Source organism: Homo sapiens, chromosome 3 (genome assembly GCF_000001405.40).
Source record: "Homo sapiens chromosome 3, GRCh38.p14 Primary Assembly".
Lineage (NCBI taxonomy): Eukaryota > Metazoa > Chordata > Mammalia > Primates > Hominidae > Homo > Homo sapiens.
The window spans coordinates 4284669-4302115 of NC_000003.12; the positions used below are offsets into that span (position 1 = coordinate 4284669).

The following is a 17447-nucleotide window of genomic DNA, read 5'->3' on the forward strand; positions in this document are numbered from 1 at the left end:
GGCAGTCACACTAGCGTCAACAATTACTTCAAATCAGGAAAGGCAAAAAAACTCCTGAAAAAAAAAATAGTACCATAGATTCCAACCCAAAATATAAAGAAGCATGGGGGGTAATTTGTTATTTGGGATTATCTGTGGTGCTTGTAAATGAGAAAAGCTAAGATAAAGGGATTATTTAATACATTATTTTTCCTGTAAACTGAATATCTTAGTAATCAAATGTTACTTCCAATACAAAGATTTAGCTGTTAACTTTGATATGAACTTACTTTATGGAAGATTTGCTAAGCTTTCACCCCCATTTATAATAAAGTCTCTAATAACCGCTGATCATCTTCGTCTCACAAGTAAGATGAGGCTTTCTTCTGTTTCTCAGTAGAAACTATCACATTCCTAGAATTCCATGAGTGCTGTTCTCCTGTCTCTAAGCCACCGAATAAGGCAGCTGCATTATCTCTTTCATAATTCTTGGGTACAATTATAATTATAATAGGCATAACTATAGCCAAATCACTATTCTCCATAAAATAACTTATGCTTAAAGTAGTTTGACTTAATAGTATCTCCTCTTTCGAAATTACTAATAGCAAGGGCTGTATATAATACTTGCATTACTCCTAGGACTATGCTTAGAATGAGTATCTTTACAAAGCACTTTTCTGAAGAGTCTACTCAAAATAATAAAGTGGCTAAAGCTAAATACCAAAATATTAATGATGGTAATGGTCATAAAAAGCTACAGGTGATTTTTCTTTTTTTGTGACTCTCTAGAGTTTATGAATTTTCACAATGAGAATGTATGATTCTTATAAGGAAAAAATGTATATGGTTATTCCTAAACTTTGACAATGAAATTTCCCAAACAAGATTAATCTCTCTACATGAATACAACTTGTATGTAATATTAACAATTCTTCTCTAGTACTTAGTACTTTCTTCCATATATTCTATTTCCTTGTATAGGTATGTAATAGATTACAAGCTCTCTGAGGATGCATTTTGGGCCTTACACATATTTGTCACCTCATACAGTACCTCATAATGCCTCATATTTGCTAAGTGATCAGTACTGTATGAGGGATGAATGATACTTTCAATAACAAAGGTTAAAGTTGATATATTCATCCAAATGCACACAACTGCCAAAATGTTGAAATACTTCCATACTAATGGATAAACACTATAATAGCAATGCAATAAGCAAAAAAAGTTAACTAAAAGTATAAATTATAATTTAAATTCATTAATTCAAGCTAATAGTCGGAGCATGTTGTCAAATAAATCCTAACTAGGTCCCCCACCAAGCAAGAAATTAGAAATACTTGCAGAAATATCCACCTGTTTGGCCCAGAGCAAAGTATGCAGTAAGAATGTATTGCACATTCTTTACAAGACTCCTTAAGAGTATCACTCATTTGTTATATGCTTAAATTATATAGTTACCTCTATTTTCAAATTGTTTAGTTTTTTCTCTGGTTTTTATTGTCAGTGCACTACAATTCTTGTGTAAGTAATAAGTATGTAGCTTTTTAACATTTATAAATGGAAAAATTTATAATAAAATATTAAAAACAAATTATCAGAATAAAAATACTATAAAGTTAGGGCAAGTTTCTTATTGTTCCTTTTGCATGTTATAAACATGAGTTTTCTGCATCTATAGGAAAACAAAGCAAAAACCGTATTAACAAAGAAGCAAGGCTGGGAACATCTTCTAATACAGCACAAAAGCAGTAAAAGTCTAGAAAGTCTTTTTATGCTGTGCAACAATCAGCGCACAGTAAAACTAATTTTAGCTCTGGAATGAAAAACAACTTATTTGAAGAAAGAATATGATTGGTTTATTTTCTGAACAAAATGATGAGTAAAATGGTGCTGAAGGTTTTATTGTTTAAATTTCATTTTCATCACACCAGCAGTCATGTTCTGTTAAAGCCCATGATTCCAAGAGAAAATGCAATCATTAATGAGGAAAATATAAAAGAATATTACAAATAAGTTTCGCAAGTTAAAGCTTATAAAATAATAAGTTCAAAGATGTTTTATCAGTGTCAATAAGGCAAATGTAAAACATTAAGATCCATCATAACACCATCGTAGCACAGAACACCTAACGTACACTTGTAAAACTATGTACTATAGATAAAAATTATGAAGCATTTTAGACATGAAATATTTACACAGAACTTGCAGAACAATGCAATGGGTGTATCACTGCAGCCTGGATTTATGTTTTAGGTTATTGTAAAACCATCTATTGCAATGTTCTCAAAGTGTGGTCCAGGGATGCCTGGGATACCCGAGATCATTACAGGTGGTCTGCAATGTCAAAATTATTTTCATAATAATACTTAAGTGTCATTTGCCTTGTAACTGTCATTCTCTCACAAGTGTATGTGTTTTCCAGAGGCTACATGACATCATGTTTCTCACAGCTAATGGAATGTGTGCTATATGTTCCTGAGTTCTTGTATGTTTTCAGTTTTAATTCCTAATATGTTAAATACTGGTAGACAGAACAACACAATGCAAAGCTTTCAGGGGGTCCTCAACTATTGTTAAGAATATAAAGGGAACCTGAGACCAAAAAGTTCAGAACCAGCAACTTAACAAAATAAGAAAATAACCTTTCAGAAATTGAGGCAGTAAAACATCAGTTGTTCACAGTAAAGATTCAAAAAACTTAATAAACATTTATTTTCCAAATAGCCATTTAGAAGAATAATGAACATAAATTGTAAAAAAAAAAAATCTTTCACACATTTCCTTACTAATGGGATGTGTGTGCTTGTTGGTCACCGCACAACCTTCTAACTTTGGAATCAGATTGGATGCTGTCACTCTCATTTCTCATTCCACATTGATTTTCACTGGTATTTGCTTAGTATTACAGCAATTACCAAAAACACAGCTTCACAAAGATAGGACCTCACCAAAAGGAACGTGGCACAATCTAATGTTGAAACCATGACCTACCTAGAGCTAGTAATTTGCACAGACATTGAATATCACTGTTTCCCTTGAATATTTAAAATATACTACAGTATTCCCTTTGGAGTCCCAAGGTGCCTCAGTGCAGTTTAGGAACAACAGATTCAAAGAATATAGTGCTTTTCCTTGTCATCTTGTTAGTTCTGCATTAGCTAGTTGTTTGTGCTTAGAAAATTCTATTATTATCAACCAAGCAAAGCTTAAAGTAAATTAGTAAATCTTCCAATATAGGGAAATAGAATATTTTGTAAGCTTTCTGATAATTCACAGATTTGGATAATTAATGCTACTGCTCTGACATCCATACTTCTCTTCTGCTCATCTTTTTAGCTCCCTTTCCTAACTCTACAGTGGTATGAAAAATTTAAAGATGATCCCATGCAAAGGCAAAATAATGACCCCAGAGAGTTCAGGCACCTGCTATCTGCAATCTAGGTCTATGACCATTTAGAACTACCTCACCAGACAACACCTAGGGAAGGTGAGGAATATACAATAATACAAATGAAGTTCTTAATTGCTTCATCACTGGTACATAGATACCAGTTTCCTAATTTCTGTTAATACATCTGAGCAGTAAGCAAACGTACTGACAAGGGAAAAAACTATGCATGGACAGAATCTCCCTGTTGGCACAGCACAAAAATGTCATCAGCTTTAGGCAAAGATTAAGAACCAGAAATTATTATTTTCTGTGTCTTTCTACTTTAAAAAAATTAATATTCCAAAGCTTTTGGATAGATGTAAAAGCATTCTGAAAGAATTACTATCATGGGTCTCTGTCCCTGAAACAGCTCTTCCCGTTGAGCTCCCTTTCCTAACTCTACAGTGGTATGAAAAATTGAATACCCGCTAACCTAGCTTAGTATTGCCATACAATCACCCCACTCAAAAATTAGAAGCTACAAGGCTGGCAGATCACAAAGTCAGGAGTTTGAGACCAGCCTGACCAACATGGTGAAACCCCATCTCTACCAAAAATACAAAAATTAGCTGGGCATGGTGGCATGCACCTGTAATCCCAGCTACTCAGAGTGGAGGCTGAGGCAGGAGAATTGCTTGAAACCTGGGAGGTGGAGGTTGCAGTGAGCCAAGATCGTGTCATTTGCACTCCAGCCTGAACAACAGAGCGAGACTCTGTCTAGAAAAAAAAAAAAATTGAACCTACAAAGCCCTCCATTGTTTCTAAATACAATTTAATTTCTGCCCCCAAAGGAAGATGGTTTCGGAACTTCACAACGTTCTCTTAAACTTCCTTATTATTTACTGTTTTATCCATGAAAATCAAGAAGGACCTCAAGCCCACAGTGGTGTTGTTCTTTCTACCAACTCCATCTCTTTATTCATTATCACACAACCTTTTCTGCTACAGTACATAGCATAATTTGCTCCTGGTGGGCAGTAATGCCATCACATTCAGAGTGAGGGCTATTTTAAACCCTATCCCAGCCAAACCAGAACTGAACAACACTGAAAGCAACTACGAGGTTTCGGGAAAATGGGGAAGATAGTGACAGAAAGGAAGCCTGAGAAACTCAGACTGGAGGTGAAAGAGCAGCTGGAGGCCAAGATAGTCCCACTTGGGGAGGAGCAAGAATCCAAGGATCTCCTCCTTCTCTTAGCACTTACAAAGCTGACTCCAAAATAAATCCTGTATTTCCTGCTCAGTTAAATCTCCAGGACAATCCTATGAGACTGGCATTATCAACCTCATTTTATGGGTGAGGAAAGAGGCTCCAAAGAGCAAGGAACCGCACTGGGCCAGTGTGGTGTAAATCGGTCACACATAGACTGTCTGTTGAAGGGTGTTCTTACATTACTACACTAGCAATTAGAGACCTAAAATAAGATAGGAAGCTCTATGAGTCAGAGCTTAAGCCCTTGCCTTCAAGCAAGTATATATCTTAATTATATCAATTCTGTTCTTATAGATTTCCTACAAGGAACCCCCTCCATACTCACCCTCCATCACCCATTACAGTACTCTTTTCCTTTTGTCAACTGGATCTACCTTCTCTTAATTTAAACCCATTTTCTTTGTTGCTATCATCCAGAAGGGGTAAAGCATCTGGTTGTAGGGTTTCTAGCTAGAGCACTCTGTAAACTAAACGACCATTTAAAATAGCACCTAGCACAATGGCCAACACACAGTTGGTACTTAATAAACACGCTGAATAACTACATGAACAAATGCTAAAAATAAACCTTTCTTTATTATGAATGACTCTAGCATCAAATAAATTGTGTTATCAACAAAAACAACAAAACATTTCAAAACGTCTTCCATAATTGATTAAGTTGCATTTTTGCAACTATTGGCAGATCTAGATATGAGATCCAGGTATAAGGCATAATAGGCAAATCACACATGGCATAATGAGTGGCACACTGTAGCCATTCAATCTGGTGAATGAATTTAAATTATGCTGGGTTGGTTTTTTAATCACAATGAAACTTAAAAGACATACCCAATTTTTAACTCTCAGACAAATAAAACACATTCCCAAGTTTAGCATCTTTAGACAGTATTTTCCATCTTTTGTCAAACATATTCACTCAGTCATTTTACAACTGCCTATGTACTCGTTATAACTTGAACATAAATTTCTCTTAGATTGTGTAAATGTGAGTCTAAACAAATCACAGCAAAGGAAAACGTTTATCTGAATTTTCTCATCACAATTTGCTACAAACATTTTTTAACTCTTTCCTCATTTTCAACAGAGTAAAAACTTCTTGTCCAGTTTATGCAAAATGGGTATTTTATCATTTGTAATTAAATGGACAAAAGGATAGGGTTATCACACCACCTTGTGGACCGTAAGGGTATTGCTGCTACAGAGCCAAAGCACATTTTAAGAACGAGAAGGTAACATGGAACATCAGCTGTTCATGCTTTTCCCTTCCCCTCCAGGTCTTCTGCCCCAAATCTACATCTTCAAATACTACCCGCTCCTCAAAATACAGTTTAAATGTCCCCCTCATAGAACCTTCTAAATCAAACTTATCTCTTCTCTAAATTTCCATGCTGCCTTATCTGGTTCTTCTTATTTTCTACTTCATATTGTATAGTCTTATCTCCCCTGCTAGACTGTAGGTATTTTGAGGATATGTGGACAGTCACCTTCAGACGTGTACTGAAGCCAGTTCATACCTACTCTCATCAATAGCTTAACATTCAGAAAGCTTGCAAGCTGGTTGTTAAAGTGTTGGTAGCTTGAAATTAGCCATGGTAGGTGCATTTACAAAATGGAAGTCAGGAAAAAAAACAACTGTAAATCCGAACACTTGTAAAACTTTGTTGACCAACTTTAACTTCTTCATATCTCATTGTCTCTACAGTAATATGTAGTGAGGAGAGGTAGTGATACTGCCTACCTCACAGGACTCTTTTAAGGATAAAAGAACCCACATAAAATGTTTTGTCTAATGTCGGGCACATAGTATGTGTCCGCCAAATATTATAATAACTATTCCCGATAACTCTATCATGGTGCACTGCAAGTAGCAGATCCTCAAAACATTCAATTGTTAAATGACAATCAAGAATTTCAATGAGAAATTTTCAGATATGTTAACACTGATGGTAGTCCCAGCTTAACAATAGGCCAGATCATTATAGGAGACATAAACTCTTTAATTATAAATAATCCAGATATTTTCGCTTGCCCTGACTCCCATCTTATTCCTGCTTGAAATCCATCTCTCTCTCCCCCTCATCTCTGCTCTCTCTCCTTGTCTCCTGCATTTCTCTTCCATTTTTACTCACTCTAAAGTGCCTTCCTCTCTCCTTCTTTTTACCACTTTATTTCATAATGCAAAATAAATAATTTATGCCTCACTTTGTTCCAGAAAAGGTTTGCAGTGAATAATAGATAACTTGGTTTCATGTTTAGTGAATAAGGATTTTATACTTCTCCAAGGGAAGGAATTGAAGTCGCTTTTTACCACTTCTATCAGTGATTCCATGATCCTGTTTGATTGGTCCTTGGCAGAAAATGGGTTCTTTATATAGACCTTTGGGGAAAGACGAAATTAAGTTTCCAAGTGCAAAGTGGAAAACTAAATTGCCATGAATTCCAAATACTTTCCAACAGGGAAGCAAAAAAATGTCCTTATCTTTTAGGGTTGATGTGGGCCACATTTCCAACTATATAATCTCTCGCTGCTTCTCTGATCTGGATTAGAATAAATTCTATCTTAAATAACCTTCCACCAAACGTCTTTTGCCAACTCTCTTCTGTGAGCTTCTCTTCCTCTCACCTCACTTCAGCTACCTCATCCCAATGCTAACATGGTGTTTTAGATACAAGGTTGCTTCCAGTAGCTAACTATGTTTGAGGATCAGCCAATAGCTTCATTCGCTCACTAAAAAGTACAACCAAAGATTGAAACAACTAATTATTTGCAAAAACATGTTTGGAATAAAACTCCAGTTGTTCAAATGTAAATCTATTGATCAAAAATAAAATTTTCCTTATTTATCAATTATTAATTAGCACAGTTTTTTAATGCAGGAAAAAAATTAAAAGTATTGGCTTTTCTCTAAGATGAACATTTGCCCTAGAATATATAAATACTGTCCATGATCATTTCTAGTTTAAAAATACACATAGGCTAAAACGAATAGCATGTCTTAAGTCATTGATTAAACGCAAGGCGTTTTGTTTAGTGGAATTTCTACTTCAGTGTTGGTCTACACAATACCCTTACCCAAGAACATATGGCTGATGCAGTACATGACAAGAAGGGGCTTTGCCTAAGAAGTGAAAATAAGGTGGGTGAGTCAGAAATTTAAATTTCAACTAACCTAAAGGCAGCTATAAGATGAGGCAATATATTGTATTTTATTCACCTCGTGGTCTATTCCAAAGGACACTGTCAAACACAATGATTCTTTTACCCACCAGCTGTCACCAACAAGTTAGCTATACTTTGTACTTTCCCTTTGTGCTTGAAAGCCAAAGCTAGAGCAGATGGCTGGATTAAGTGCCAGAGCAAAGGTAAAATTGGCTATTTCATCTGAACAGGTACTGCCAGACTTCATTAAGACAAAAGCCCCAGCAACAAATACCTACAAAATCTAGGGTCTGGAAAGTGCAATCTGAACTGCTTGTTTAATTTACCAACTAAAAACAAAAATGCTCTTTGGGGGAAAACTTTACCTAATTTGCTAAGAGATGAAAAAAGACACACATATTTCATCTGCAGTGAGAAGTGGTTTCCTGTGTCATTAACCCTGTAATTTCCAGGCTCTGTAAAAAACAAATTATATTCAATGTTCTTCTAAGCTAAGCTCATGGGTGAGTTCCAGAACGTGAAATTTAATCTTCCAGAGCTCAAACTAACAAAGCAAAGATGTTTGAAAATACTTGACTTTTTTAAAAACTGCAAATTAAAATGATAAGAGAACAGCTAAATGAACAACTAAATGAAAGACTTTCAAACTGAGGGATTAAAGCTAGAGTCAGGGTTCAGGATAAAGGAATTCAGAGCTGCCTGTTATGACCAATCATTCATCAACCACATAGTGCAGTTATAATATGTAACTGGAAGTGGAAGAGTTACATATTATATGTAATATGTTCTAATCCTAATGATTAGATTAGAATGACACTGAAAAAATCCATTCCACTGTTGCAAAGAAAGCTCAATTTCCCAAAACACAACTTCCTTGACTTTCTATTCTGAAGCTAAAAGGTTTTGGAGTTCAAAGAGCCACCTATTTTGCCTCTCCTGAGTGGCACAGGCATAGAGCAGTTTGTTGCCTCCATTCACTTATTTTTAAAAGCCCGAAAAGATAAAGAGAATAGAATTAGAAATCACTTCTATGACCATTTATAAATTGGTTATTTCCTCGGCATTTTTATTACTACCAAGAGAGACATAATCTTATATGCAACAGATTTCTATTATTCAGTTCCCTCACTCAGGTAACTCACAATTAGTAAAATTATAGTAATAACATTCGAATGTCACAAAGCAGAAATTTCAGTAGCCTAATAGACTGTTCTAAGTAGTCAGGCTGTAAGACTAGCATATTCAGCAGTGAGATCAAGGTTTCCTTTGAGGCAGATTAATTAATGTGATTATATTTTCAAAGCCCAAGAGCACAACCCTTAGTAAAAACATCTCTCAAGCTACATAATGCCCTTCACTATATAAATCACTATACTTTCCAATGGGATGAAAAACTGTTTATGTTTTCTAATTTCAAGATTTCTAATCCTTTCATTCCTGCACAGCAGCCAGAAGAAAAGTAGTCTCTGAATATGGGAAAGGCTTAGAAACATAAATGGTGAGAAACTTTATCTTCAGAGAGGCAGAGTTTCAGACCTAGGCCCACATTCACCCCTACCACTCATACATGTGAAATACATTTTTTAAAATACCTAATCTATTGGAATTTCAGTTCTCAGATCTTGGGCAGTGGAGATATTAATACTGCCTACTTCGTGGAATTGTTGTGAGGATCAAATTTAAAATATGTGTAATGTTTAAGTATAGTATCTAGGAATGTGCTGTCCATAGCTATACGTAGCTATTTAAATCAAATTTAATTAAAATTGATAAATTTGAAATTCAGCTCTTCGGTCACACTAGCCATATTTCAACTATTCAGTAGTTACACGTGGCCACGTCCATTCATTCTCAGCACTTTGGGAGGCCAAGGCAGAGGGATCATCTGAGCCCTGGAGTTCAAGACGAGCCCAGGCAACACTGCAAGACCCTATCTCTACAAAAAATTTAAAAAATTAGCCAGGCATCATAGTGTGTGCCTGTAGTCTCAGCTGCAAAGGACGCTGAGGCAGGAGGATTTCTTTAGGCTGAGAGATCGAGGCTGCAGTGAGCCTCTGAGGTACAATGAGCCTCTGAGTTGTAGAGAGTGTACCACTGCACTCCAGCCTGGGCAACAGAGCAAGAACCTGTCTCAACAACAACAACAACAAATGTTAATTTGGTGTGTCTGACATTTTTTTCCTCCTCTTCACCAATTCCTCTAAGTTGTCAGGCTGCCCAGGTTTCTTCTTGTCTGGAAAGAAAGCAATATGTAAAACATATCTGTGTTTACCATTTTTTTCACTCCCGAGAATACTGGAGTTCTAAAAAAAAACATGACATGGAAACAGCAATGTTTATCGCAAATGGGAGAAGTTCTAATGATGAGGATTTCAGGCACTGTAGTCAGACACTGAGCGAGGTCTTTTTGGACTAACTATATGTGTGAGGAGAGTAAAAAGGAGTTTCCACAGTCCTCTTCAATTCCTACGTAGAGATCCGTCTGCAGCGACGCTGACTTTAACACATTCACACTTACTGAGATAATGAAAAAGAAAAGAGCTTTTTCCTCTGTGGAATTCTTTTTACGACAAACTTTTCCTGGTTGAAATATCTAAAAATAATTATAAATCATCAACATTTTTCCAAGAGATGCTTTAGACAAGTTAGTCTTGGGCAACTGAGTAAAATTTTTTGCATTTGGTTTTTCGTTTCCATGGTTTCCTTTCTCCACTCAAATGCTAGAACTGGGGCTGGGAAGCTACCAGAGTGAGAATGCCAGGGGCCTATATAGTTGCAGGAACGTTGCATTATAAGAAGCAGAAAATTAATATAGTCTCTAAGAAGGATTCCAGTCTCAGATGATATTTGGTGGTATCCAGCGAAATTATCCTGTAGATACTTGTAGATCTGGGCTTAGAATGTTTTTGGTAGATTGCTCTAAAATAGGACGCTTGTGGAACTAAACTTCATCTTTGCTTTCAAAACTGCAAGCAGAAAAGGCTGGTGGTGTGCCTTATTATAGATGAGAAGGAAGATCTAGTACTCTAGAAAAAATTCTGTTTATAGGTGGTATGCAAAGCTTACTACCTGGAACGTGAAATGAACGAACCGCGGGCTGTGCTTTTCAAGGTCAAACTGCAAACAAAGCAAGTCTGCTCTCATAGCCTTGGTAACAGTATTTGAATACGCATGATAATAAATTTGTTCATATGTTTTCCGTGAGTGAAATTAATTTCTTGCTGGTGATATTGCAGGTTATATAAATACATAATACTCTTCTTTCACCTCTTCGCATATTATCAAACAATCCACATTTGACTTCATAACATTTTGAGACAGTCTACAATCATCAATCCTGGATATTACTTCACAGCTAAAGTACTTACACTAACAATATTCTGATTGTGATTTTATCTTTATGTTTTTTATCATATCAACAAGGGAAATTATGGGTTTCATGAAACCATAATGCAATGATAAAAACATAGGACAAGATGGAAGTTTTTTTATTCTGCTGAAAACATATTTAATAGCAGTCTAAACACAAAAATGTAAACTGCTGTCTTTTGGAAAACATAACACAGGGTCACAATTTTGTAAGATAAAAGTTTCAAGTTATTTTAATAAATTGCCACATTTTTTCTTATAGAAAAATGACCCATATGCCTTTGCTTTTTTAAAAAAAAAACAATACTGGGTATGACTTATGTGCTATAGAAGTATTAGCCATTATTACTGTATTATTATCCCTTCCACCAGATAGAAATTTCTTATTTTGTACTACTGTTTGATGTTATAAAATTCTATTAATATTATTTTGGGAAGGCACTCTTTAGTGAAGACACATCAGAAAGGCAAAATAGTTAAAAAAAAAAAAAAGCTTACCCATCTTTTAAAGTGAACAAAAATTCATAAAGATCATATAACTTCTATACAGAGCTGTATGAGTCTGTTCTCAGGCTGCTAATAAAGACATACCTGAGACTGGGTAATTTATAAAGGAAAAGAGGTTTAATGGACTCACAGTTTCACATGGCTGGGGAGGCCTCACAATCATGGTGGAAGGTGAAGGAGGAGCAAAGGTACATCTTACCTGGCAGCAGGCAAGATAAGCGTGTGCAGGGGAACTGCCCTTTTATAAAACCATCAGATCTCATGAGACTTACTCACTATCAGGAGAAAAGCCCAACCCCCTGATTCAATTACCTCCCACTGGGTCCCTCCCACGACACGTGCGGATTACAGGAGCTACAATTCAAGATGAGATTTGGATGGGAACACAGCGAAACCATATCAAGAGCAAAGTAGCTAATTATCCAACCCACACTGTCTAATGATAATAATGGTAATAATAATGTCATTATAAATGTTCACAGTACCTTTCCTGGCTAAAATTGTTTAAAGTAACAGAAACCACTCTGACTTAACCTAAACCCAAAGGAAGAATTTATTATAATAATATAGTTATGTAATGTGAATCGAAAAAGAGACTGAAACCAGAAATAGACAGCTGTCCTCTCTCCTTATCACTCATCTGCTTTATTTTTCTCTTGGAAGACGGACTTTCCCCTGCTTCTCCATCTATATACCAAATAAACCTACCTCTCAGCTCCTGAATTATAAATAATAGTTTTAGCTGTGATTTGGTCTCAGCTCCTGACCAAGAGAACCTAATTGTCCTAGATTGAAAAAGGTGTGCACCTGTAAGCTAAAAACTTGGGCCGAGGCTTTTTAGGAGATCACTGTGTAATATAAACATAACTGTCTGTGAGCCCACCCCGTTAGACGGGCTGGGTGAGGGATGGCATGTTCTCACAAGGGAAATGGTCACCAAATTGGACAGAAATCCCCAAAAGGATCAATTACCATGCTTCTTTTTAAAATGACTTCATGCAACAATCTTTTTTCATGAGAGGATCCAGTGCCTGTACTATGCCTACTTGGTATCTACTGGTGTCAGGTGTTTTGGGTTTGTTTTAGAGAGAAGGTCTCTCTCCGTCGCCCAATCCAGGCTGCAGTACGGTGGCACAATCATAGCTAACTGAAGCCTTGGATTGCTGGGCTCAAGCAATCCTCCCACCTCAGCCTCCCTAGAATTACAGCCACAAGCCACTACACCTGAATTTTTTTTTTTTTTTTTTTTTGAGATGGAGTCTGGCTACGTTGCCCAAGCTTGCCTGGAACTCCTGGCCTTGAGCCATCCTCCATCCTCCTACCTCAGCTTCCCAAGGCACTGGGATTACAGACATAAGCCACTGTGCCTGGCCGTGATAGTTCTTATTAGAAGGCTAAGATGTTTCAAATGCTAACAAATATGTAAGTAATTTCTGCTGACTTTCCTCCTTTCATCACTGGCTACAAAGTACATCCCAGAATATTAAGCTCAGATAATGCTAGTGAAACTTTGATAAAAGAATGGCTTCTGAATACAAAGCCATGCAGAACTTCATAAAAACCCTGAACAAAAAAGCATAAAAACACCCCAATTAAAGACCACTTTTGTTAATAAATGTAAAGCTCAAATAGTCATACCTCATAATTTAGCCAAGGATAACTGAACCTATGAAATGTCAGAGTTTTATTATATTGTATTGTTTTCTTTTTATTTTTTTATTACTGATCAGATTAGTTTCTCTTCTGCCAGTGAAAAATCCAAAAGAAATCTGAATAATCAATGCAATATTCAGTTCCAAAACCTGTTTATGGAAATCTATTAGGGCAATTCATTAATGTCCAGAAATACATTTTTCCCCACCATCTAGCTATAATGGTTTGCAGAACAAATTCTGAAGATCAAGGTTCCTGGTCAATGAAAAGCAGTTGTCTAGAGAAAATAAGACAGGTTTCTAGACCCCGAAAAGATGAAAGACTGACAGCTTGGCATTCTGAAGATTGGTTATATCAGCCTGCAAACATCCTCTCATTATTTTAATCTCATACTCTATAAAATACTTTTGGATCCTCTGCCAGCAAGATAAAAACAAATTAAACCAAAGGGCCAGCATGCACAAAATATCTTATTCTGGAAGCACCACTGCTGACAGCTTCCGAAAAAATAAAATAAAGTGGATCCTTCAAAAAAATTTTCCAAATAGCAGACAGTATTACCAAGAAAGAGTCAAAAACTAAAAATGGCATAACAGCAAATATAGGAGTGTGGTTCTCCTCATGGCTCTTATAATTCTTTTCTCACAACATTCTTACAATTTCTATCACATTCTGTAAGTATATAGTTATTTGTCTGTTACACTGCAAGCTTTTCTAGGGTACCATGTCTTCTTCATGTATACATTCCCCTAATTGGTAAACTGGACCATGCATGTAATCAGTGGTCAAACTTTTCTTAAAATGAATGAACAGCATGTTCTCTGAATATCTGAGAAATTCCCATACTATTCAAAATTCCTGAAGGGTGAAACAAACCTTATCTCCAGCCAATCTGAAATTACTCTTTCCTATCCACATCTTTCTTTTTATTACTTTGCTTCTCCTGTTCCTTCCACCTGGAATGCCTAAATCCTATCCATCATTCATGATCTCCCCTGCTAAAAGTAATCTTTACCAGTTCTAAAGATCCATAGCACTTTACCTAAACCTTCTTATGTTTCTTAATTATACTATAAGCAGCTAATTGTATCATATACATGACTATCTCTTCTTTTAAGGAAGGATAGGTACACAACTATATCTGATAAAATATTTACTAGGCAGCTACCTTAAAATCTATAGCTTCTGAGAGGCAAGGCTTCTAATTCAGGATTCCCCCACACCCTATTAATGGGATATATTCTCCTTGCATTTGAGCCACCCTCTGGGAGAACAAACAGCTCCCAGGCAGCTCTGTGACCTGCTGTGTGGACTGCAAGCACTATTCCCACAGAAGGGGTACACCTGAGGCCTCTCTGCTGGTAGGCTTTGGCTCTTGTCCTATAATCTCAAGTGAAGCTAATGCCAAGTGTGGCCAGTGACAGTCCTGTGAACCCGAATGTTTAGTTGAACCTGAAATGACCCTGTGGTAGATGTTTCAAGTACCATATTATGGGTATTAATGAATTTATACATATCAAATGTTTAAACAATATCTGGGCCAGATGTCGTCGCTTATGCCTGTAATCTCAGCACTTTGGGAGGTGGAGATGGGTGGATCACTTGAGGTCAGGAGTTTGAGACCAGTATGGTCAATTCGGTGAAACCCCAGCTCTACTAAAAATACAAAAAAGTAGCTGGGTGTGGTGGCACACACCTGTAATCCCAGCTCCTCAAGAGGCTGAGGCAGGAAGACTGCTTGAACCCAAGAGGTGGAGGTTGCAGTGAGCCAGGATGGCGCCACTGCACTCCAGCCTGGGTGACAGAGTGAGACTCCACCTCAAAAAATAAAAAATAAAAAAACAGTATCTGGTACATAATAAGTCAATAAATGTTAGCTATTATTTCCCATGGTCAGAAATTTGCAGAGTAGGAATATAAATTTAGTCATGGCTGATTTCAGATACTGTGCCCCTAACTCTTACATTTTGATTCTTTTCTACATAGAATCAATTCCCTATTGATATAATTTGGATATTTGTCCTCATCCAAGCCTCATGTTGAAATCTAATCCCCAGTGTTGGAGGTGGGGCATAGTAGGAGAAGACTGGATCATGGGGGCGGGTTTCTCATTAAACCCATGGGTGCTAAAGCACCATCCCCTCGGTGCTGTCATCACAACAGTGAGTTAATTCTCACAAGATCCGGTCATTTAAAAGTGTGTGTGGCACCTGCCCCAACCCCCACTCTCTCTCACTGCTCCTGCTTTGACCATGTGAGATGCCTGCTTCCTCTTCACCTTCTACTATGACTCAAAGCTTCCTGAGGCCTGCCCAGGAACCGAACAAATGCCAGCACCATACTACCTGTACAGCCTGCAGAGCCATGAGCCAATTAAACCTCTTTTCTTTATAAATTACCTAGCCTCAAGTATTTCTTTACAGCAACACAAGAAAGTTTTTATATCAGATGTGTACTCAAAAAAGTTTTTATATCAGATGTGTACTGCAGTGCAAAATTATGTGATTTTATACATGCTCATGAATAGCACATTTATAAGGCTGATCTTTAATTTCTGTTCTCAAACCTATTAATGCCAGGTATAACTGTTATTATAATTTTATGAAAAAAGGATGATGAACTATGAGTGCAAAGAGTTTCTCCCTTCTGGGATAACTAAGTAGAACATTCTGTAAAGACTTGGAGAAAAAAAAGCAAGTCACTAAAAAATGTTTTGCCCTTGAAGTGGGTGTGAGTGAGAAAAGTATAAAAGACTAGGGAAAGAAAACAGATCATGATATCCCATTGCTTCACTATCCTTTAGTTCCCACCCCACTTTAAAGACACCAAAACTGGAACTCAGAGTAAGCTTGACCTGGAGCTCTAATCAGTAGAAAACAAACATACAGAGACACACACACACACACACTCTAGCTCTCCTTCTCTTTTGGCCCTACATCAAAAGACTAGCATATAAATGTACCAAAATCATTTAAGTTAAAACAAAATGTTTCTCTATCTATCTATCTCCCCACCCTCCACCAATATATATATATATAATTTTTATGAGTTCAATAAGATGGTTTTGCCTGTGCTTACATTAAATAGTTGCAGGGAACATAAGAAATGGCTTATAAAGTAGGAGAACTAATGTAAAGAGGGTAACCAATGCTAAGGGAAACAGGGTAAAGAAAGATACAGAGAAGGGACTACTTGAGCTGAGCAGACAGACAGTCCTGGGTAAAGGCACTGGAGATACAAGAACAATGTGGACAAAGGCCCAGAGGCCCAAGTAGAATGGCTTTTTGAGGGAATGTCAACAGAACAAGGGGTTCCAACAGAGAACAGCAGCAAAAGAGACCAAGGAAATAGGTAAAGTCTGGGTCCTCAAAGGCTCATAAGACAGAATATAGAAGGTAAACTTTGAGAGAAAATGGAGCAAATAAGAATCTAAGCAGCAAAATATAATAACTGGACAAGGATCTTCAAAGGTCATTGTAGCAGCGGCAGTAAGGGTGATTTGGGGATATGGAGAATGACAGACTTAAAGCAAAGAACTTCCAAAGTCCAAGCAAGAAATGAGAGAGCCTAGGACTAAGTGAGAAGAGGCAAAAATGAGAACATGAAGGCAGAATCAACAAGACTTACCCACCACGTCCTTAGCTATATGAGTCTAGTGAAGTGAAGGAATACAGAGTAACTGGTTTGTTGCTTTAGTGGCTCTGTAGATCACAAATTATTTTCCCAGTTAACTTTAAAGAAGAAAAAGCAAGACTGGCAGAAGAAGTCAATTCAGATTATTTTGAGTTTGAGGAGCCTGTAGGACAGAAAACAGAAATGCTCAATCATTAGCTGAATATGCGTAACTGGATTTGAGGAGAAACGTCTGATCTGGGTTGGAGACTGGTGACCTAATCCTTTATATTTGAAGCCATGGGAGTGGATGTTATTAATGAGAAAGTTCAGGGAAGGGGAGCAAAGAAAAAGGTCAAGGGCAGAACCCTGAATCACACCCACTTTTCAGAAACAGTCAGGCAGGAAAACAACAAGAGGATACTAACAAGGAAAGGTCTGCAAGATGGAAACACATTTAGGCCAATGGGACCTCAGAAGCTGCAAGGTCAGAAGGGTTTGTGAACCCAAAATTA

The 17447-nt window shown here is 36.9% G+C and overlaps 1 protein-coding gene across 5 annotated transcripts in view; it reads right to left on the reverse strand.

Moving 5' to 3' along the window:
• SUMF1 (sulfatase modifying factor 1) overlaps positions 1 to 17447 on the reverse strand; it is a 432784-nt gene that overhangs the window by 250183 nt on the left and 165154 nt on the right. Inside the window, exon 10 of one of the 5 annotated variants that reach the window (XR_007095664.1) lies at positions 1871 to 17116. The exons of the other annotated variants lie outside the window; for them this stretch is intronic. The gene's annotated coding sequence lies outside the window, so the exon portion shown is untranslated. Of the gene's footprint in view, positions 1 to 1870; positions 17117 to 17447 lie in introns of those variants that run through there. 5 annotated transcript variants of the gene reach the window in all.